The following is a 24754-nucleotide window of genomic DNA, read 5'->3' as shown; positions in this document are numbered from 1 at the left end:
TTTCTGATTCTACATCTTACTACAACCTCCTAATGCAGTTTGTGTTTATTTATTTGTCCATTTCAGAAAAAAAATGACCAGTAAAATGACTAATTGTTAAAAACAAACCAAATATATTTCAGAGGCTCTGCCAATGTGTAATGCCTTCTAACACTGGCAAAAACTATCAGTAGAGTAAATTTGAAATAACTGTTTTCTCTGCAGAATGCTCAATGCTATTCTCACTTGCCCTCCTTTCTTGAATCCTCCGCCTCTATACTCCCACCCCGGAAAAAAAAAAGCAAAACAGATTACAGTAAATTTTGGCAAGGAATTCTATTTGCATCATTTTCTTAGAAGTCACGTGCTTTGGATTTCCTCTTGTTTATGATATATTAAAATGCCTCCCAGATGTTTTTAATTATAAAAAAAGTTTTCAAGAAAGCAGAGTAATTCATAATAAAATTTCCTCTTTTTTTAATGGCCAATAAATTAGTATAGTCCAGCTTATCAAACTGCTCCATAATTCTGAGGTGACCTGTTTAAAGAAGGTCAGGCATTGAGTTAGACAGCTCGATTTGGGCAGAGGGAGAGTTTTACCAAGAACACTTTCAGTTCCTGTTTCCAATTGAGGCTGCTCCCTGCCTGGGGCCTACCCTAACGCAAAAGCCCATTGGCTAGAATTGCTTAAATGTCCCATACAAATATAAACACCTCGATAGTGCTGGGAAGATTAAAGGAACAGCTTATTGATATTGTATATGCTCTTGTTTGGATGTGTGACGGGGAAGACAGCATTTAACTGCTGGTATGCAATGCTGAACCTGGACTGCATGAAGAGGTTTTCGTTCACTGATGTTGGATGTGTGCCCAGACTGCCATAGTAGAATTTAGGGAAAACACAGAAAGGAGGAGAGACACAGAATGGTTTTTGGGAACATCCATGTGGGGCAGAAGAATAAATACATGTGAAGACCATGTTTCCAGAAATGAAATGACTGGCCACTGGGCAACAGTTATGAGTCCCCCAAATCCCTTCCTGGTCCTCTCCATTTGCACTTGAAGGTAACTGTTCATCTTGATGTTGATTCGGGGTAGGAGTGAGATTGTAACTGGGGCTGGGGGCAGTGGCTCACGCCTGTAGTCCCAGCACTTTGGAAGGCCAAGGCGGGCGGATCACGAGGTCAGGAGATCAGACCATCGTGGCTAACACGGTGAAGCCCTGTCTCTACTAAAAAAAAATATAAAAAACATTATCCGGGAGCGATGGCGGGCGACTACTGTAGTCCCAGCTACTCGGGAGGCCGAGGCAGGAGAATGGCGTGAACCCGGGAGGTGGAGCTTGCAGTGAGCCGAGATTGCTCCACTGCACTCCGGCCTGGACGACAGAGCGAGACTCCGTCTCAAAAAAAAAAAAAAAAAGGATTATAACTGGGTTAAAAAAGAAAGAGGACAGGTCATGGCAAGAAGAAACCCGACATCATTTTGCCTGTTTTTCTAAGCTTAGCAAGGAGATGAATGTGGTGGGGTTTTTGTTTTTTGGCTTTTTAACTAGTGTTTCTGAAAGAGAAATCTTTGTGGATTGTGGACGTGGCGCCTCTTAAAATGTACCTGCTGATCATCTGTCATATGGGATAGACCAAGAACCTTTGGAAGTACTGATTTTATGGCTCACAATGTGTATTTAAGTTTAAATGGGACTTTCTTTGGTTTAACTCAATGGAGGGCTTTCTGGTTACTCTCTCATCACCCTAACCCACTTCATCCCTTTGTCTGTAACTTTAAGCATATTTGCCAAATATGAGCAAATGTATTCATGATGATAGCTTTATAGAGGCATTTTATCAAGTAGGTGTCTGTAGGAAGTGGTGCTTGAGGAAAAAGAAAGTGAGGCAGTGTAACAGATACAAACTAGTCAGTCAACCATTATTTATTGAGCAACCACAATATACACAGAAGAAAAAGTCCTATAGAAGAGGGAAATGGAAAGAAGCTTCTTTGGACAAGGGTAGAGGGGCAACAGAGGAAAGTCCTAGGGTATTCTAAAAGCCTGCCAGCTCAAAGGTGAGGACACTAGAACTTACGGGAAAGAAGATGGGGGTTCCCGAGAGAGAAGGAAAGATCACCAATGGCTCAAGGAGACTCATCTTGCTTCACGCATTTAGGACTTTGAATTTTACAAGCATGCATAACATAAATACCAGATGGAGACAAAATGTTATTATTTCTGTGGTCAGTATGTGCCTGTTGGTAATGAGCAGAAAATACTACAACAAATGAACACAGTGTGGAGTTATCTATTAACAGCGGCATCATCTGAAGTAAGAAAGGAACTGGGTTAAAGAAATTACCATTGTCATTTTTCTAGTGGTCACTCATGATAGCCAGTTGATGCAATTTGAATTAAAATTTTAAAAGAATCTTTGGAAAATGTCACATTTGGGAAAAAGATGGTAAACAAATGCATCATGTAAAAGAGGATGAGTTAGGAAACTTCCATCCTTAGTGAATTGATGAGACTTTTGAAGTTACCGAATAGCATCAACCTAATGAATGGAGGTGAAAAAAATGTGGATTGAGTGGCTCAACAACTCCTTTTAACAAACATTTATTTCCAATTTACTATGTGTTACGCAGAATTTTGGGTGCTGCTAAGAAAAAAAGATTACCAGTGTCATTAAAGCAAGAATTCCTTTGGCTGTTTCAGCCAGCAGATGCACCTGCTGATGTAGCTTCAGCCAAACGACATCTCCCTTAGATATAAGCAGCCCACTCTAATAGTTCAAGTTTTCATCTTTAGGAGGAAATTTCAGTGGAGCAAGGAGGGAAAGAAGGGCAACTCCTCAGCCCTTCTGACTTGCCACATCAAAGCTATAGTCCACGGAGAATAAATGCCCTAACCAGATTTGCATACAAACAATATGCCCACATTGCCCAGGACATAGTCCTGGCCCTACAGGAATGGATTGTTTTGCATTTCAGGCAATAGTCGCTCAGAAATAACCTGAATGTAGCTCAGGCTACATCTTTCTTCTCCTATCACTTCCTCCCTACACCCCCTGCTCTCTCCATTCTTGGCACGCTGGCTTTTTTGCCATTCGTGGAACTCACCAAACGTGCTGCTCAGGCTGGTGCCTCTGTGGTTCTTTGCCTACTAGATATCTGTGTGGTTCACATTCTCTCTTCCTCAGGTGTCTGCTCAAAGGCAGCTTTATCAACATGGCCCTCATCCCCTTTATCCTGCTTTATTTGTCTTCAGATTAGTTATTACTGCCAGATAAATTATATAATTTTAGGTTATTTCTTTTCTTCTGCCACATGAACATAAACTCAATGAAGGCAGTGCCTTGTCTATTTTTTTTTTTTTTTTTTTTTACCAGTCATTACTGGTCTCCCAAGCCTAGAACAGCGCCTGGCTGACAGTAGGTGCCCAATAAATATTTGTTGACTATGTGAATAACAAGAGAGAGCATTTGGACAACAGAGGAAGGATAGGATAATTTTAGCTTGAAGAATCACGAAGGGCCTAGAGAAAATATTGTGCATTTACTATGTGCCCAGCTCAGTGGTGGTGGAGGAGACAGAGAGAGACAGACAGACAGCAGACATTCTTATGCAACAGTGCACTTCAAAGGCTATGCAATGTCAATTATTACTAGAACTAGTAAAGGCTCTGGAAACTAAATTATTATGAGGGATCGTTTAAGAAAATAGTAACTTTCTCAGCCTAAAGAAAATAAAACAGTGGGGAGACAGGAACAGGGGTTAGACAGAGGATGAAATATCACACCTATCTTTACATATGATAAAGATATCCTCTGAAATAGTGAGTACACTTATATTCTATTGTGGAGAGGGCAGGAAGATTGGGAGATAATTTTGTTTTAAAATTGTAATCATTATAGCTGTCTTTTAGTGGAGTAAATTCCATCACTGTGTTAAATCAGAGATAATCTAAAAGAGCTGTTATAAACTGGACTCTGGTCTTAGGTAGAAGCTTATGCCAGATAACTTAGAATTAAAAATCTTCCAAACTAGGTTTTACACACACACACACACACACACGTGTGCACGTGCATAAGCACATGAGCACGTACATACTCGTTGGGTTTTAATTACTACAAATCATCCAACTAGTTCTAGAATAGAGGATGCCCAGTTAAAGTTGGATTTCAGATAAACAGTGAACAATTTTTCATTACAAGTAGGTCTCATGCAATATTTGGGGAAAACTTATACCAACAATTTCTTTGTTGTTTATCTGAAATTCAAATTTAACTGAAATTATCTGAAATTCTAAATTTAATTTAAACTTATCCTATATTCTATGTGACAACCTTATGCTATAGAAAACAACATAGCAAAAGAAAGGTGTGTGTGTTTCTCCAGAATTCCAAATTTACATAATTAATGTAATAAATACAAAGCAGGGGATGGCATGCCAGAATTCATTCATACATCTATGGCCATTATCGCCTTGGGCAGATTGGGGGTATTGATCTTATAGCCACAACACCAGGTGGGTTTATTTTTTTTTCCAATTTTAAATCATTTTTGGCTGGATTATTTTACAGTTTTTGAGAATTTTAAAATGTGTTTATTTTAATGTTGCTTTTTTTGTTCACCATGCTGTCTCTAGAATTTCACAGAGGACTTTGTCTTAAATGATTCACAGCATATCATGGTGACTATTTGGCTTTCTTAGTATCTTCGTATCAAATCTAACTTCCAATTCAAAGTTATTTATTTGGGGCACATTTCTTTGGAGCTGAAGTATTAATGCTGATACATGAATCCCCTTTTAATACATTATAATTTTAAAAGTATAATTATATTACAATTAAAATAACTTCAAAATAGTTACCAAAATGATTTGCAAACATTTTATTGCAGGTAAACAGATGTGTGGTTCACATGATCTTGACAAAAAAAAGATTTCTGCTTATCAGCTAAAGAGATACTACTGTAAGACTAAAGCATAAAACTTTGAAATTAGAGGTTCTTGATGACATTTTAAAATTATAAATTAATTTTAAATGATTATTTCAAATTTTGTGCATAAAGTGAAGAGCTATTAATATTTTAACTTGCACTATATCAAATTGCCTACTTTAAATATTCACATGACACGTAACCTTGCCTTGTATAATACTGACTCTGACCTCAAAAGGCTTAGGCCTACTTTGGAAGATAATATGAAGAGAAGTGAAACAATTACAAGAAAATTTATTCAGTGTGCTATCAAGTTCTAAAACCAAAAGTTTAAAGAATGGAGAAATCACCATGGGGTAGTACCCTGAGAAACGGGGGCCTAATGTGTGCCTTGCAGGATGGGCTGGGAATATATCCTTGGAGAGGAAGGTACGTGTAGGGCCAAGGAAGAAGCAATATGTGCAATGCTTGGGACAGGAGAATAAGAAGGATGGTTGAAGCCAGAGATTATGTGGAAGGTAAGAACAAAGTAAAAATACTTCTGTTTTGAAATGGTGGGATGTATTTATGAATGGGAAGCATAGTCATATTAATTGAAATGTTAAAGACCACACCACAGAATTTAGACTGGCTGACACAGGCCATAGAGCATTTGTATATGCCTGCCTAAGAAATGGACATCCCACGAGTGGTGTTTCTGATGGTGCACCCTACATATCTATCTCAATGAAACCAGATCAGAATTGCTTCTGCACTGTGTAATCAAAACTCACAGGACATAAACCGGCATTGTCATTCTTTGAGCACTTCTTTAACAAAAGTCTTCTGCCTTTACAGATTTTTGAGCTTGTAGGGTTACTTCTATTCACAGTGAAGACCCACAAACTTCTTTCTGTGGATACAAATCAATACTTAGGTCTCTGAGAATTTCATGTAGGTTGGTGGCTTTGTGACCAGAAGGTGAGAGAATAGCTTGATCCTGCATCCTCACCCCAGGCAGATCCCCCACTGACAGCCACAGGGTTATGGTCTATGTCAAGGCTCTCTGATCAGGCACTAAGATTACTTTTCAAGCATTAATCTCTGTGAAGCGAGGCGCGCTGTTCAAAGCGATGTCACTTCCGTGCCATTCTCTCCAACTAAAGAGGAAGACATTTTTGCAAGATATATTTTTGCCAGCTCATCCATCAGAGAATATTTATTTGTTCATTAATTTCTTTTATGAACATTGTACAAGTTACACAGTACAGTACCTCCTGATCATTTATTGCCCAGATTTATACGCCATGACTTGATAGAAAGTGCAGCTCCAGAATGGAGCTCTCTCATTCTCTGTGTAAGCAGTTGTGCTGCGATTTACAGGATAAAGACATTCTTTTTAGACACTGTAATTAGCACTTGCCTTATTTATACGTCTCCCTTAACATTGTGTCCCCTTTAAAAATATTTTTATTTAAGATGGCATGCAAGGAAACAGCTCGGCATGCGTTAGGAAAAAAAAGAAGAAGAAACAAACCACTGATAAATCCATCTGTTAAAAACCACAGTACACAAATTAAAAGAGTAAGTTAACATTACATGTCCTAATCTCCTAGCACCATTGTTCGTGCTTACTGTTTCTTGCAGAATATTCAAAAGCTATTTTTTCCAGCAGACCAACTCCTTTTAGTTACACCCCGGAAATGCTTTGCTTGTTTTAAATAGGTCCATTATGCTCTCAGACACCTACATATTTAGTATGTCCAGCCTTAGTCAAGTGAGTGGTCTATACGGTTTTCCTCCTCTATTATTTACTTTGTCTTCTCCAACTACCCTTTCAAACAATTCATGGTTATCAAAATTCCTCACCAAAGTTTCCCTGCTAAATGCAGACGGTGGTTCTGCCTCTAGCAGAGCAAGATGCAGTAACTCAACAGTCCAAAGATCTCTTTTCTTAATTTTTTAATGTTTCCCTTTCTCCCTCCCTTGTGAGACAGGTGAGAAAAGCAATTGCCCCCACTGCTTAATGCGTCCCAACTCAGAAACTCACTCCAGCCTTGTAATTTTGAATCCCAACCCAGCTGGCAGTTCCTGGATTTTAGACTCTGAATATGAGTTCAGCACTTTTAAATCAATCACTCTGAACAGTATTTCTGTCAAATGGAAACTTTTCTTCTTTGGCAGAAAGGCTTTCCTGATTTTCAGCTACAGCCTCAGAGAACTGAACAGTCTCATAAATGAAACCGGGATGTAGGAGAAAAATTAAACTAGATATAATTTTCTAACATTATCGTTGCAAGAGTCCTGTTTCCTTTAACTGTTCAGTAAGACGAGGCACCTTTTGTACCCTGTAAGATTTTTCAAACAGTTCCCCCAATTCAGGCTAATGGCTAGTTGAGGTTTGACTAGCAAGGGGTTACAGGGTTAGGTGGAAATAGGAGGAATGAAATACTCCTGGGATCCTATTCTCTCTAACTTAAAATTCTCTTTCAAATTATTAAACTTTTTCAAGAATTAGGTTACCTAATTAATGTTGCTTGCTATCACACCTAGCAGTCCTGTTATTGGTAGAATTCGTAGGTTAGTACAAAGGCTCTTGGCTTAGCCAGAGATGACACAGCAGCTTTGGAAATAATACTTCTTCTTACATTTCACAAGGTGATATGGTTTGGCTGTGTCCCCACTCAAATCTCATCTTGAATTGTAATGCCCATGTGTCTAGGGAGAGAGCTGGTGGGAGGTGATTGGATCATGGGGACGGTTCCCCCCATACTGTTCTCATGATAGTGAGTTCTCATGAGATCTGATGATTTTATAAAGGCCTCTTCCCTCTTCACTTCTCCCTCTTCTCTTTCCTGCACCATGTGAAGAAGGTCTTTGCTTCCCCTTTGCTTTGTGCCATGATTGTAAGTTTCCTGAGGCTTCCCTAGCCAAGCGGAACTATGAGTCAATTAAACCTCTTACCTTTATAAACTACCCAGTCTCAGGTATGTCTTTATAGCAATGTGAAAATGGACTAATACACTAGGACAAGTTTAAATTTCAAGCACTGAAAATAAAGAAATAATGTCAAATCCCTGAAAATAGTATTAGAGACCAATTTTCTTTGGGGCTTTAAATAATAATAACAAGAAAATGTTTATAATTCATAAAGTATTCTGCACTATTTTTATGCACCCTTCCTTGAGTACTGTACACGATCCATTGTATCCAAACATTGAGGTAACACAGAAATTGATGTTTTCTATAATCTCAGCTTTTTACTATGCTTTTTATTTCATGAGTGTCCCAATACATAGAACCATCTACATATCTACATAGAAATAGAAACTGTAAGATTTATTAAGAAAAGTCCATAGAGAGGTGCTAATTTTCTCCACCAGATTTCACTGGACATTTGTAGCTTCATACCATTTTTCATGCAGTGCTGTGTTTACTATATCTTGATTTCTTCACAATGCTCAAAATATTCCATATAATCCCCTAGGTAGCTTGAAAGGACTTTATAGACAACCATTGATCTATGGACATTGAACATGAAATTTTTGAATTCTAAGTTACATTGGGATTGATAGTTATAGCAAAATGTAAATACTGAGGAAAAAATATTTAAGTATATATAGAATGAACACATTTGAAAAACTTATGAAAATAATACTGAAATAAGTACATTCATTCATTCAATATTTATCCAACACAAATTTATTGAGCGTTTACTATTATTGAGTATTGAGTTCCAGGCAAGATGTAGCTACTGAAATGTCATGTAGGTGAAACAGACGTGGTCCCTGGACCTCATGAATTCAGAACATTGGCCTCTTTGAAGCAGGAGGGCCAAGCTCTTAAACTCTTTAAAGAAATATTGCTGGACTCAATTGCTGTAGAATTCTGAAAGTCTAATCTAAATGTGCAGCAACAGGCAAGGAACACTAAGAAAAACACATATAAGAAGTGTATTTCAGATGGATAGCTAAGAACATTATAGAACTTTTGAGCTAAAAAGTACCTTAAAGACCTTATATCCCAGCCCCCTTGTTAATCCAAATGAAATTCTTGTTTGTGTTCACACAGTTTTTAATAACTAAGCTGAGTCCAGAACCTGTATCTCTTGACATCCAGAAAAGTACCTAACAAATGAATGCCCTTTGAATATTTTTATAATCAATTTCAATTTCTTGGTTTTTTTTTTCTCTTTTCTTTTTTTTTTTTTTTTTTGAGACAGAGTTTTGCTCTTGTTGCCTAGGCTGAAGTGCAATGGCATGATCTCGGCTCACTGCAAACTTCACTCCTGGGTTCGAGCAATTCTCCTGCCTCGGCCTCCTGAGTAGCTGGGATTACAGGCATGTGCCACCATGCCCGGCCGATTTTGTATTTTTAGTAAAGACGGTTTCACCATGTTGGTCAGGCTGATCTTGAACTCCTGACCTCAGGTGATCCACTTGCCTTGGCCTCCCAAAGTGCTGGGATTACAGGTGTGAGCCACCGCATCCAGCCAGTTTAAACTTCTAACTGTATTCATAGTGCAGTCAAGAGGGTGTTAGGGGCTGAACTGTGTTCACCTAAAATTCATATGTTGAAGTCTTAACCTCCAGTTCCTGAGAATGTGACTTTATTTTGAAAGTAGAGTCATTGCATATGTAATTAGTTAAGATGAGGTCATGCTGGAATAAGGTGGGCCCCTAATCCAATGTGGCTGGTGCCGGTGGAGATTGGCATGCACACAAAGAGAACATCATGTGAAGATTAGTGTTAAACTGCTAGGAGAGTGTACTGGAACAAATCCCTCCCTAGCACCTTCAAGGGAATATGACCCTGCTGACACCTTGAGCTCAGATTTTCAGCCTCCAGAACCATGAGACAATACATTTCTGTTGTTTAAGACACACAATGTGTGCTACTTCATTATAGAAATCCTGGGAAACTAATATAGAGGACAATTCTATTTGAGGTTTACTCAGTTTGTCTTTTCATTCATTTATGTATTCATCAAACATAATGCATATTAGATGCATTTATTAAGCACCTAATATGTGCCAAGCACTGCACAAAACAGTAAGGATACAAAAATGAATAAGACCCAATCCCCATATTCAAACAAACGTGACTATTCCAAAGTGTTAATAATTATGTTCTTAGGTTCCTCCTATCCCAGTCTGGGATCTACGTTTATGTGTGTGGTTCTTTCCCAATAAATATTATTTATATCCCCCAACCAACCCCAAGAGACTAGATTTCACTTCTACCTTGGGCCCAGCCTCTTCCCTGAAATATGTGAAATTGTTGCTTCCCAGGAGTAGTTACTCTCTCCAATCAGTGAGTCATGAACTGGGGGTCTAATCCAGGCCAGTGACAGCCCCTTAGCGTGCCGTTAAAGCAGGCATCTCTAATCCACCCACTACAGGAGTGCAATGAGGACAGCAATGGGTATCTGTCATGCTTTATCAGGGCCATAAAGTGAGTATTTAAAATTTTAAAGTTTTCTAATGAAATATACAAAGGTTGATTATTTAGCAGTTTATCAACTTTACCCTGCTGTGGCAAAGGGAACAGACAATAACATTGCTCAAAGGAGGCTTCAAAACTACTTTCTACCATTTTATTACAACTTTAAAGAGGACTAAAAACAAGTCTCCCAGAAGGCTCCTGGCCAGCTTTGCTGCTTCAACCCCAGAGAGCATGTTTGCATTCCTACAGCTGATGCTGCTGGAATCAGTCCCTCTCCACTCTCCCTGGGACCCCACGGTCACCGCTTCCAAGGCTGTGCCTGTGACAACCAGAAGCCAGAGGAACTGGAGGATCTCTGGCCCACAGAACGAATAGTGGGACAAGTCAGGACTTAAACTGCCCCTACTTCATAATTACCTGCTGCTTTTCTTCATTTCCCAGCTGCCCCAAATCTTTCTGTCTCTACCACCACAGTGACCACTTTCTGCAAAGAACAGTAAGAATGAATTTAAGAGGAATAAAAAATTAGACGAAGGTTATATTTACCCTAAAGCAATTTTTATGAGGATAAGATTCTCACATATGTACTACAAGAGAGGCGAGAAACAAATTGTGCTTCTCTGAAAGATGAATGAACTTCCACCCTATTTATGTTTCTAGAAATGCCTGAAAGATGAACTTTTAAGTGAATTTATGAAGTCTTTATTTTCCATGATTTTTAGTGGTTTCTATTTTTACTTGAATCTACTTCCCTTTAAATCTCACCTTTTTATTAGAAAAGTAAAATAGAGGCTCACAATGTCCAGAGTACCTCCTTTTAAATGGCAGAGAATGAGCCAAGAGGTCTAGTACATACGAGGTCTCTTTAGGGCCTCTTGGCCCTTTTGCAATTTTTGTTTTATTATCTCTTCTCAGCGGCAAGAGAGCATGTTGGGAAGCTGAAATGTTTCCCCTAGTGAGTTTATACAGGACTTTCTAGAATTGAGCCTCTGTCTTAGTGGCTACCATTCTCCCACCTCCTATACTAGGTAAGGCGATAGGAGGATGTACAATTGCACCTAGAGAGTTTAGATAATTCAAAGTGAAATACAGACAAAAACACAATTTCCAGCAAATGATTATGAGACCACAGAGGGGGAAAAATTAAGAAACGTATTATTAGAGTTACATATTCATTCACTTCTTTATTCAAAAATGTTTATCAAGCACCTACTACGAGTCAGATCTTGTGCTAACCACTAGGGATATATGTTGCACAGAAACAGACATGCTTGCTCTTCCCACAGAGCTCACAGTTTGATGAGGGAGAGGCATCAATCAAATAATGATGTAAAATAATTAATTAAAAGTACAAGTATTAAGTGCTGTGAAGGATAATTATATAATGCCATGTGAGCATAAAATAAGTCAGTTTTACCCAGTCTGGGGTAGAGATTGGTGGCGGCATCTCAGAGGTGTGCCTGAGAAACGTATTTATTGAACTAAGATTTGTTTTTTAACTGTAGGAATCAACTAAGCAAAGTTGGAGGGGAGGATGAGAATGGGGTCAGAAGCATATCAGGGAGAGTGCAGAAAGAAGTCAAAATGTCCCTTGTCAAAGGAAGATGGGCACATTTAAGGATATTAAAGAAGTCCTGTGCACCTAAACCCCTGGGGAGAAGGTGCGAACTGAAGCTGGAGTGTGGGTAGGAGGCAGCCAGTCCACGCAGGGCTTGGCAGACCCTATTAAAGCTATTGGAAGTGATCCAAAGAGCAATGGAGAGCCACTGAAAGGCTTAAGGCACAGAGAGTAACGTAATAAGAAACCTGTTGTTCCTGCTAGTATCGAGGGAGTTACCTGCAACCCAAAAAACTTTGTGCTACCCCCTACACTACTCCAAGTCCAGATCCACATCTTCTAGAAACCAAAGTGATACCAGTTTACCAGGAGAATCCTAAAGGTTCACACTAATTTCATTTCCTTAAACACTGACTGGACAATTTCATATTCTTTGGCAAAGGAGGATGACAAATAGGTATTAAAAATCCAGCAATCTGGACCACACACCTAGCAAGATTAGCAACTAATAATAGATTTAGAAAACAAAATGTTCCATTTGGAATATCTTAGCAAAGCCACCTACTAACAGAGTAAGTGAAACTTTTTGAGTATTATTTTTGTACTACTTTTAATTTGCTTCTATGTCTATACCCAACTTCGAACACAGCACATACTATAGACTATCAAAGATTATCAAAAGTGATAGTAATGTAATTTAAGCTATTTACCTTCAGAAATAATGAGCTGATTCATAACAACAGAGCAATAACCACACTTCCATGCCACTGGCCAAGAAAGCCTGGCTATTACCCACATTTGAGTAAATCACACCACAAACACATGTTAATTTTGGCCACCCCTCCTTACTTAACTAAATGTTTATTTCAAATGATCTGAGCTTCCTGCATTCACTTTTGCTCTGTTCTTCAACACACTGTGGATGGAGGGCTTTTTTTCAAAACTCCAATCTGCTCTTGTCATTTTGCCTGCTTGAAAGCCTTCACCAGCTTTCCATTGCTGTGGGGCTGAAGGCCAAACTCTGCAGCAGGGCCACAGGTGAGGCCAGTGTGGTCCAGCCTCACCTACTCTCCAGTCTCATGCTGCTGCACACTCCTTATCACTTTCTGTGCCTGGCGTTCCATGGCAGTGGGTTGGTGCTGAGAACTAAAGTCAGTCTTTGTCCTCAAGATGCATATGGTCTAGTGAGAAATATTACATTACACGACATGAATCCCATTACAGCTACATAAAAATGAACAACTTTTTACAGAGTAAATGCAGGATGCCAGCAGAGCACCTATGACTGACACTTAACCCAGGTGCATGGCATCTAGGAAGTTTTTCTGGATTCAGTGTCATCTGACATGTTGCCCCAGGAGTAAAGACCACACAATCTAAAACATAATTATATGTATTCTAATACTGGTCACTTGGTACCTCTTTCTTTTTTTTTTTCTTTAGACAAACTCTCACTCTGTCGCCTAGGGTGGAGTGCAATTGGCGCGATCTCAGCTCACTGCAACCTCCGCCTCCCAGGTTCAAGCTTTCAAGCTATTCTCCTGCCTCAGCCTCCCGAGTAGCTGGGACTATAGGCATGCACCACCACACCTGGCTAATTTTTGTATTTTGAGTAGAGATAGGGTTTCACCATGTTGGTCAGGCTGGTCTCAAACTCCTGACCTCAAGTGGTCCACCCACCTCAACCTCCCAAAGTGCTGGGGTTACAGGCATGAGCTACCACACCTGGACTTTTTTTTTCTTCTATGCTGATCTTGTTACCCAAATTATATTGTAAACTCCTTGAAGACAAAGGCTATTACACTTATATATCCTGAACACTGTTCATATATGCTGACCACATGGTATGTGCTTCCAAATATATGTTGACCAATTAATAAGATAGTAAATTCTTACCTCAGGATGTGTGAGGCAAGCAAGGGAGCATAAAAAGTGCTGGATATACCAAATCAACTAGGAATGAAAGGCATGGCTATGTGAAAAAGGCTGGCACAAAGACAAAATTCTACTGGTACTTATTTTTTTTTAATTTAACAGTGATAATGATATAATGACTATATGATTTAACTGGCAGGTAGGAGCCGGAAAAAGACCTCACTAACTCACACTAATGAGAGGTAGGCCCATTGCTAAGAGCGACTGAGGTCGCTCTTAGTAATTGATTTTCTATTTTTAAAATATGTGCTCAGCTCACTCCAGCCAACATACACACAAGTTGACTGCAACACAGAATACACTTTGTTCTTTCATTTTGTCAAGTGTAGTTGCATTTTAATTATTTATGATAATACTTAATAGTATATTAGTAAGTGTCCTGTAGTGTGGCATGTAAAAGTAATGAAGTCTTAGTAATAGGAGAACACGATAGAGCTCTCAGCTATTAAATCTTTGCTGAGAAGTGAAGTGAGACTGCAGGGTTCTTTGTGAGAATTGGGGGTTTGCAGATTAGGGAAGTGAAAATTAGCAAAGTTTTTCTGAATTACATTTATAAAATACATGGTGATATTTTAAAATGCATTGAATATGACTAATATGTTTGAATATGACAGATACGTTAAGATACATGTTCCTTTTATGTGGGCTGCTTAGTAGATACTAAGACTTCTTAAGAAACAGGCCTCGGCTGGTTTCCCACTTGATGGCATTCTTTTATATACTTTTTTTTTATTTCTGACTCCCACAAAACACATTCTATCTCCATAGTATTAAGAATAATTTGAGCATGTGAAGGTTTTTTAACTTTCAAATTAATCACTCTTATGGTTATGGATGGAATTATAATCATTTCCTGAGGAAAAATAAGATTAATGTTTTAAAAATTATATAAGACTTGACTTCATATTTTTGCAATTGGTATATTTTACATAGTTTTTTTTTACTTAAATATTCTGTTACATCCAACTTTCCAATTCTAAATTCCAGAAATAAATTTTACAAGATCCAGTTGAATAAATGTCTGCCAGAAGAACTCCACCAAATTCTACCTCTGAACTCTCCCACCCCCAAAAAGGACCCTCATTCTCTGCTACTGGGACTTTGTTCTTTTCTACCGTTTTAGAAGCGTTCGCCCAGATCCTTTGTCTGGGTAATTGAAAATGTTTCCCAAACCTTTTTAGCCTTTCTTTGCAGGACCTGTCTTCCCCTTCTTTGAATAGCTCCTTCTTCCTTCCTACCAATTTTCTCCTCAGCCCCCTGCTCTCTCACGACGCATCCCTCATTCTCTTTAATACCCTTGTTGGCACCATGTTCTTATTCCAGTCTGTCCTATTCCCTCACCTACTAACTTCATGGGTTTTTTTTTTTTTTTTCCCTCACCTTTTACCATATTCATAGGAGACTGAAATAAGTATTTTGCCCTATTATTAAAATATTGAGAATATCTACTTTTTGAGGCTGTACATTTTAAGTGGTCAACTTTTATTATAGAGTTTCCATAGTTACTTTAAGTTATTGATGAGAAAATAGGAATTAAATGCTCATATTAAGAATAATCATGGAAAAACTGTTGTATTGAATTATTGTAAAAATAAAAATCTAAAGAGAATGAAAGTCTTATCTCTATTTTAAGAATGAATAGCTAAGTGAAGTTTGCAAATAAATATCAAAACTATTAGCCTGGCTGAATATTTTGACAACCCATCTTCTATTGGGTGTTTTGTTTGTAAAATGAAGAGCATATATATGAGTGTGTGTGTGTATGTGGGTGTGGGTGTGTATGTATATGTAATATATACATGTAAATATAAGCACATATTTGACCACTCCTAAAGATTAATATTTATATTCACCTTATACAAATAGTTGATAATTACTTACCTGGGAACTTGGTTGTAATCATTAATGGTAACTCTCATAAACACAGAAAAGCTATGCAAGGCATGGTGTCCAAAGAACTTGACTAGTACAAATTAGAAAATATTATGTACCAGGTTTTCCAAGAGGAAGTCTCAGGGCCCCAGGTCAATGGGCAACACATGTGCATGCAGAATCCAAGCAAGTTATACTTGGGAGATTTCTTTAAGAGGTTTGACCATGGTTGGAGTACCTCCATCATGTTATCACCAACTGGTGGCAGGTGCTCTGTCCCAGAAAGAGACACTGGCAAGAACAAAGTGGAACAGATTTCAGATTTAGGGCTAGGATCTCTCAGAATAGGGATTTCAAGACAGTGGGCAAACACAAAGAACTCAGTCTAGGAACTCGGGCACATGAAGAAAAGCAGTAACTCAGTAGCTCAATGGTCGTTTTAAGGGCAATGGTTCTTGGTCTGAAGAGTAGCACCCAAACCTTGGAGAACAATGGTTAGGGCAGGAGTGATCAGATTTCAGTGCACTGGGGCTGCGAGAGAAACACATATTGCCTGATCTGAATACAGGCTATTTGGGAACCATGGTGAGTGTCACCCCTCAGGAGAAGTAATTAAGAAACACAGCTGGGTAATACAGAAGTAGGCGCTGACAAGCAGTAATTTCCAAAGTGAAATATCAATGTCTATATATGTATCCATTTATGCACACAAATAAATATGCATTTATGAATAAGTATGCACATATAGCAACACAACACAACTACTCTCCAACTTGCATCAGAGAAATTTGTTTTGTAGCATAAAGGGTCTAAGTTAGTGTGTAAAGGTACCACTCCTTTATTTACTCCAAATGCATCCAAGAACTTGTAAAATTTGACTTGTTCCACATTCTAGTATTTTTCACTTTCAAAGCACACTAGATACATGCTATGGAACAAAAGGGAGGAAAAGCTTTTCTGAGGATTTCTGTTTCTACCAATGATGTACTAAGATAACTTGACATCTGTCCCAGCTATGAAATACCTAGAAATTAAAAAATATTATAATACCATACATCTTTTTAAATGCATGGCATGGGCCAGCTAACATGAAAGTCAGAAAAAAAAATTTCAAAAATGAACAGGAAACATTAGCAGGACAGTGGGCTGCAGCTGATGCTTTAGTGCTGGTAAGAAAGAGCCACAATTCTCAGCAGCCAAGGAGTAAGAGGCAAGGCCGAAGGAGGGAGCCCCAAGGAGGGAGAGAGGTGTTACTCAGACCCCATTTATAAGTCTGGAGCTGGACAGCATAAATTCAAAACCCTTCCCACTTGTATGGGAAAACAATAAAGATGGTTTAAAAAAATAAACATAAGCTCTAAGAGGAAGGGGGAACTACATACTTAAGAGTTTATAACCTCTTACTTTCCCTTAGGCCAATGTGCTTTCAAAATTATACTATCAATGTAAGCAAGGATCCCTTTAAACATGGATACTTACATGTCTTTGTCCCAAACTGGAATGCTTTGTAGGAGCAAACACAAAACATTTATGAAGGGATATATCCTCAACAAGCTGAATATGATTCTCACAGATAAATCTCTATTCAAAATGAGCTAATAATTCAGAATTTACAGAACACACTAGAAAACAATTCTCTGTGCAGGGCGCGGTGGCTCACGCCTGTAATCCCAACACTTTGAGAGGCCGAGGCTGGCAGATCACCTGAGGTCAGGAGTTCGAGACCAGCCTGACCTACATGGAAAAACCCCGTCTCTACTAAAAATACAAAATTAGCCGGGCGTGGTGGTGCATGCCTGTAATCCCAGCTACTCGGGAGACTGAGGCAGGAGAATCACTTGAACCCAGGGGGCGGAGGTTGCGGTAAGCCAAGATCGCACCATTGCACTCCAGCCTGGGCAACAAGAGCAAAACTCTGTCTCAGAAAAAAAAGAAAAGAATTCTCTGTAAACAAGAGTCATCACACACAGGAAATGGGATTATGCGCATCCTACCCTCACATAAGAAGTCTAGATACTATAAAATAATTATGTTTTAAAGTATTAAATACCTTTAAAGGCAATGAGAGAATGATTTTTAAAGGTAGTATAAAAAGACTAGTCAGCTATTGAAATAGAGAAAATAAAAATTTTAAATAATCATTGAAAATATAAAACTAACAATCTTTTTTTTTTTTTTTTGAGATGGAGTCTCTCTCTGTCACCCAGGTTGGAGTCCAGTGGTTCAATCTCGGCTCACTGCAAGCTCTGCCTCCCAGGTTTACGCCATTCTCCTGCCACAGCCTCCCGAATAGCTGGGACTACAGGTGCATGACACAAGGCCTGACTAATTTTTTGTAATTTTAGTAGAGATGGGGTTTCACTGTGTTAGCCAGGATGGTCTGGATCTCCCAACCTCGTGATCCGCCCGCCTCAGCCTCCCAAAGTGCTGGGATTACAGGTGTGAGCCTGGCCAACAATCTTTTTAAAGTACATATGAAATCTAGCTAAAGGAAGAATTAGGAAACAGGAAGATGGATCTCTAAAAATTACCCCTATAATGTAGCACAGAATGATAAAGAAAAGGATAACATGTAAGAGAACTATTTCAAAGGAATCCAGAAGAAGAGAACAGAGAAAATGGAGAATACACAATTAAAATGGTAATTGAGAAATTGTTCCAAAACTGATATGAACATGAATCATCAGATTCAAATAGTAAAAGTAGCCTCAACATGATAAGTACAATTGAATCCACACCTAGACATATCATAATGAAACTTCAGAACACCAACATAAAAAACAAGTTTCTTTAAAGCGCCAGAAAGAAGGAAAAATCATTTGAAAGAATAATATTATACTGACTGCAGACAGCAGAATTATCGTAGCAACAATAAAAGTCAAGAGAGTGGAATAGTACCTTCAGTAAGTTGAAGCCACATAGCTGTCAACTAGAATTATATGTTGTTGTAATCACCCCACAGCAATGAATGGGCTCCCCACGTGAAACTTTGTTCAGATATCATGACTGATGGTACCATACACACATACCAAGAGAGTATGAACATTTTTATTAATCATGGATTGAAGATTCCTGGGGAGAACAGATTCCCAAGCAGGTCTGAAAATGGTTGGGAGAGCAGAGAATGGAGACTGTCTTGGGTTTATGATGGTTAGGTAGTTAGAGGTGAAAGTGAAGTTTCCCTTCATGATCCAGGGCTTGCATGGTTTAATCTTTCTGACACCAACAAAGGAGGGTACCTAAGAAACCAGGTAAAGGTATATTGCATTCCTTCCAAAGTGAAGGCAAATTGAAATTTGAGAGACTATTGAAATAGGCTCAGAACAGATGTAGACAAATATGTGACTGAAAAGTACATACCAGTTGCTGATTGTTTGGTGTTTATCTTCTCATGGAGAAAGGAAGGCTGTGTGCATACAAGTGACATCTGCTGCTTGTTTCAAGTCCTAGAATTGTATGACTACCTTAGCTTCATGTGGGCCTAGTGCCTCATTCTGTTGGTCCTGTTCTTTGATTATACAGGCTGTTCACCTCAGGTACAGGTACACATCTATTGCTCTATTGCTTCCTCCAAAGCAAAATGCCCTTGATATTAAGTTCACAGAGCCTGAGGCTTTTGTCCAGATTTTACTGATTTCTCCAATTTCTGCCTAGTAGTAAAGTCTTTGCCCTTAGACTAAGCCAGCTTTGTCCACTAGAGATATGATATGAGCCATATGCGTCATTTAAAATTTTCTAGTAGCTACATTTAAAAATAAATTAACAGAGCTAGGTGAAACTAATAATACAGTGTATTTACTCCAACACATCCAAAATAATATGAAATGTTATTAAGATATTTTGCATTCATATTTTCTAAGTCTTCAAAATTTAGAATGTACTTTATTTACACTTACAGAATATCTCAGTTAAGCGTTCATTAAAAGTGCTTGATCTGTGTTTAGATTTTATAAAATTTACAGTTGAAAAATTAGATGCACATACCTAAGTTATTTCAAATGTACAAAAACAGTTTCCAAAAGCTGAATTGAGGGTCAATTTTAAAATTTAAATTTAAAGTAATTTAAGTTAAATTAAAAAGTTAGTTTCTCAGTCTCCCTAGCCACATTTTAAGTGCTTGGTAGCTACAAGTGGGCTAGCAGCTACTGCACTGGGCAGCACAGACTATCGTGAAATGCAGGCCCTCATCTCAAAGCCTCCTTTCTGCTTGCATGTTACATCTTGAATTAGAAAGATGGGACTGCACCTCACTTCCTGAAAATAACACTCATATACCTTAAACTGACATTCAAAACTCTTAGTAACATCTTGAAGGCATTGAAACAGCCAAGGATCTACAACTTCCTAATTAAACTAGCTAAAATTAATTTTTCCTTATTTTGTTATCCCAAAGAACTTCTTCTTACCTCTGTTTTAGGCTTTATTCCAATAGGCTCATAGTATTTTTTACTGTATCCTTGGTGAATCGCCATGTCATAATCCTAAAGAACATGATTCCTAAGTTTAGAAAAATCTAGGTTTGATCCCCCGAATGCCCATCTATTGGCTTGGGCAGTTATGTCTTCTGAGCCTAACATTCCTTATTTACAAAGTGGGAATAATACTTACTTAATAATATGATGTAGTGAGGATTATAAGTGATACAGCCTATAAAGTGCTTTACTTTGTGTCAGAGTTTGTCACCAAAAAAATTACAAAAATAATGTTAGCAAATATTTATTGATCTGTTTCTCACTAAAATTTAAGTCTTTAAAGGTGAGGGTCATTGATCTGCTTGCTAAAGGGACATCACCTAGCACTGTGCTGTGCATATGGCCGTATATACAGCTCAGTCAATGGTTGAGTTTAAATTCAAACTGACTGCTACCACTGACTGGATTCAGACTTCACCCTGCTTCGCATGCCCTCCTTATCTCCATTTGTATATCTCTTCCAGTTGCTTTGCCTCTTTGTCTTCTTGGTCTCAATAGTCACTAAAGTTTCAAGCAACAGGTGAGAAAAATAAAATTAAAAAGCCCTTTTTCATAAGGCAAAACAGTCATGGAATATAAAGGAAATTTAATTTTAGAACTGCATTAGAATAAAGTTGGTTAGGTATAAACCCTTAACTCCTAGAAACGTATTCAGAGCAACAGGCATCTCCGCCAGCTCCCTGGGACCGGGCTACAGTGGAGTTGTGTCATAGTGCAAAAGTAGTGAACTGCTGATAAAAAGCATTAACCTCCATCAGAGTGGCTGCCATTAACTGATGAAATCAATTAAGCCAGCAGCACTACCTGCTGAAAACTGATCTAGCAGAGGAACGGATGGCAGGGTAGAACAGATGAAATGAAAAAATAGTGGGCTGGGTTTTCTTCTTGCTCTGTTTTTAGAAATGTTAAGTTCCGTCAGTGTGTTTTTTTGCACTGCTTTGAAGAACTCTTTCCCCGGCGACTCCCCCCCTGCTTGGCCTCATTCCTTAAACTCACTAAGTTATTACAGTTAATACCGTGGTTAATGGTTTCTGGAAAGACGATATCTATCAGCATCTGAGTGTACACATTTTGGCCTAAATACTGAGAAATCGTAGGTATGTAATACAAAGCCTGGGTGTGCCTGCCTGTAGAAAGTAGCTCATTAGGATTAATCTTTTATGGAGTGACTAATGCAAAGGGAACGAGGCCTTTTCCTCCCCAACTCGGCAGAGGTTTTGTCCAAACTTTCAAACAGGTTTCTTTGGAATACAGCTGGTCACTACTGAAGACTTTGCTCAAACATATGGAACTTTAAAACCTTGATTTTTTTTTTAACTTTTGTATACTGTAGCAATTCCCTGAAAATCAAATGGCAGAACCTAAACGGAAGACTCACTGCCAAAACGCATGCCCAGTTGGGGAAAAGTGTGTGGGGAATCATCCAGCACACTTCGAGAGCTTCGAGTACAGCCTGGTAGAACTCTGTATTACCTTCTGTTCTGATTCCTGAGCTCTGCCAGACTTTTGTTTGAAAAAGCATCTTTATGCAGCAGTACATTTGTTACGTTGTATCTGAGAATACTTTCCACCTTGGCTCCTGCTTTTAACGAGTAAAATGACTTCTTCTCTTGCTACAAAGACCAAAAGGACACAAGGTACAAGGCAGAGCTTCTCAGCAGAGATATATGTTTTTTTCTGCCAAAATTAGTATAAGACAATAAGTTGTCTGTAAAGGTCCGGTAGTCAGATAAAGGAGTCAAGTTCCTTTTCAGGGTAATGTAATTGTTAGTCCTCATAAAAAAAAGTGTTGTGTGGTGGGGGGAGTTGCGGCTTTATCAATAAAAGCATACAGAGCTGAATATCTACATAAAGAAATGTTCAGTATAATTTATGGCATTTCATCATGTCGAACTGCATTTCAAGTAATTCACCCTGGCAGTTTTATTCTCAAAATGGAAATCTTAGTATTTTCCTTGCCTTCATCAAATAAAGAGTTCGTGTTCAACTGTAGTCCGTATACTTGATAATTTGTCTGGCTGGGTAAGGTTATTAGCAATTTAAGAAGTAAACCCATTTGGATTTTCAGAGTTAACAGAAATAGGAGATTGCTATGATGATCTCTTAAAAATTACAATGTAACACACAAAAGTGAGATTTAAGTAACAAGATTTTCCATACACCAATAACACCAGGGAAATTCAAACTCAAACTCCCTCGTTTAATTTCCAGGGATTAAGGGGTTGGTATTGAAGTCAATGAAAGATACATTTTACAAAACTGTTAATTCAATTCAGAAAAGCAGACCAAAGGCCCACTATCTTTAGAGTTTCTTTGGTTGAAATGCAACTTGATCAACTGGGTGGAAGATATTTCTAATTCTCTAAACTGGTCAGAACAAAGTAGAGGACAGTGGTCCCAGCCAGAGGATCCTGAGGGTCTCCTATGATAAACTGTTAGACTTGCAAGGGCATTTAGAGATTATTTAGCCCAAACCTATAGCTTGGTAAATGAGGAAATTGAAGCCTAGAGAGTAAATGACTTAGCTAACATCATTCAACTGGTCGGTATAGGTGTTCACTCACTTGCCTTTCAAATAGAGATCTTTTTAACTCCCTCATCAAATTCTTTCAGGAATTATTGATTTTCTTAGTTGGTTTCTTTTGATTTTATATTTTATCATGGAGATGATATTAATTCCAGGATAAAATACTGATATAAGGAATTTTCAAAATTGTTGCTCATTATTTTCTAATTTTCATTTAGCCTCTTGCAACATTGCAAACAAAGTTGATAACATTTTACCTTTAGATTCACCTTTTCAATTTACAAAACACTTAATGTCTAAGACTTGCCAATGATATAAGCTATTTACTATTTAACACATTTATAGATAAGGTGTAGAGCATTGGCAAGGTTAAATGACTTTGCTAAGGTCACACAACCAGACATTAGCGAAGCCAGACCTTGAACCCAGCATTTTTTACTGTTTACACCATGTTAGTTGTGAATGTATAACTAAGGCAAAGGGATCACCTCATAAAGTTCTTACTGATGAGGGACTGAATTGTTTATTTGCTATTTCACTGTAAGAAGCTTCGCTTAATGGATAAAAGCATAAGATTTAGACTCAAACCAGAAATCCACCTCTACTTTATAGTAGTATGGGGACATTGGTTAAGTGATCTCTTTTATTCACAATCGTCTCATCTGCTTAATGGTGATAATAATAAATGTAGGTTTTTCTGGAACAATTAAATGGCTAATGCATTTGAGAAAAAGCATGTATTTCATTGTTTGGCATAAAATAAACACTATATATTTTTAGTAACTGTTACTATGCTATTATTCTAAGCTATACTATCAGCAAGATGTAAGTAATGCTCCTATTTCATCATAAATATATAAATACTTATGTTTTTATGTATAGATTGTTATGCTTACATAGGTTTCAGTGCACTTTGTTAGTAATTATTCTTCATATCTTTCAGAATGCAAACTTCTTAAGGTCAAAGACATGTGTTTTATCTTTGATATAGAATATTTTCAATGACAAGATATGTTCATCTTTATATCCCCAAAACCTATCATGTTTTTGAAAGACAGTAAGTGTTAATAAACAGTTATTAGTGTTGAAATAGAGTTTTGTATTGACTTTGAAAATAATCCTTACTCTGGGTTGGTTGGCTGATTGGCTTGTTTATTTATTTAGCTCATGAGATGAGAGGGGTAGACATTTACTCTTCTATCTAAAGGTCTTAGTTCCCTCTTGGCTGTCATTTGGTGAGTAACTTGCTTTGCTGTTGTTTCTGTGGTGTTTAGATATCTATATGTAAATCTTGTAACATGGTCTTAGCTCCTTTCCTGGCAAGCTAATTATCTGATGAGCAACCAAAGAAATGATCTATTCTAGTGGAAGAGAAAAAATTGACTGTGTTAAGCTTACCGAGAAATAATACTGTACATACTATTGCACTTTATGAGACTTAAAGAATTTGAATACACAGTTTTTATATGCATGCTAACCTTAGCTGCCTGGAAAGATGCAGCATAACTGCTTAAACTTATTTTTTTTGTTGTTGTATACTAACTTATTTTAAATGAGGATGAGTAGATATAGACATATATATATATATATTTATACACACACACACACACACACAAATATATACACCTTCCCCCAAGTGCATGTGCACGCGCGCACGCGCACACACACACACACACACGCAACTAGTTGACTGAGGAAGATAAAACTTGGGCCTGATTTACAGATGTTTCTGCACAATATTCAGGCACCATTCAAAAGTGGACAGCAACAGCAGTGCAGCCCCTTTCTGGACATCCTTGAAAGACGGCAGTGAAGGAAATTTCTCCCAGTGGGCAGAACTTCAAACACAGCACCTGGAGACACACTGGCAAAGGAAATAACCAGAGGTAAGAGTCTATACAGATATATGATCTGTGGCCAATGGTTTGGAAACAAAATGATTATAAAATTGGTAACAAAGAGGTTTGGGAAAGAGGTATGTGGAAAAACCTTTTTGATGGCAAAGAGTGTAAAGATATCTGTGTCCCATATGAATGCTAATCAAAGGGTGACCTC

At 38.1% G+C, this 24754-nt stretch overlaps 1 long non-coding RNA gene across 1 annotated transcript, besides 1 other annotated feature; it reads left to right on the top strand.

The window, feature by feature from the left end:
* The first annotated feature begins 534 nt into the window (after positions 1-534).
* On the top strand, positions 535-23789 carry LOC124904212 (uncharacterized). Its single transcript, XR_007066209.1, has 2 exons — positions 535-1044; positions 17884-23789. It is a non-coding gene; the product is annotated as an uncharacterized LOC124904212 (long non-coding RNA).
* Positions 7506-7706: a silencer, noted in NCBI's record as "peak307 fragment used in MPRA reporter construct". NCBI's record gives its function as "represses an SCP1 promoter by STARR-seq MPRAs in K562 erythroleukemia cells {active_cell/tissue: K562}" and the evidence as "EXISTENCE:reporter gene assay evidence [ECO:0000049][PMID:32103011]".
* Positions 23790-24754: the final 965 nt, after the last annotated feature.

Source organism: Homo sapiens, chromosome 1 (assembly GCF_000001405.40).
Source record: "Homo sapiens chromosome 1, GRCh38.p14 Primary Assembly".
Taxonomy (NCBI): Eukaryota; Metazoa; Chordata; class Mammalia; order Primates; family Hominidae; genus Homo; species Homo sapiens.
The sequence above is the reverse complement of the archived record's forward strand: the minus strand, read 5'-3'. Positions and strand labels throughout refer to the sequence as shown.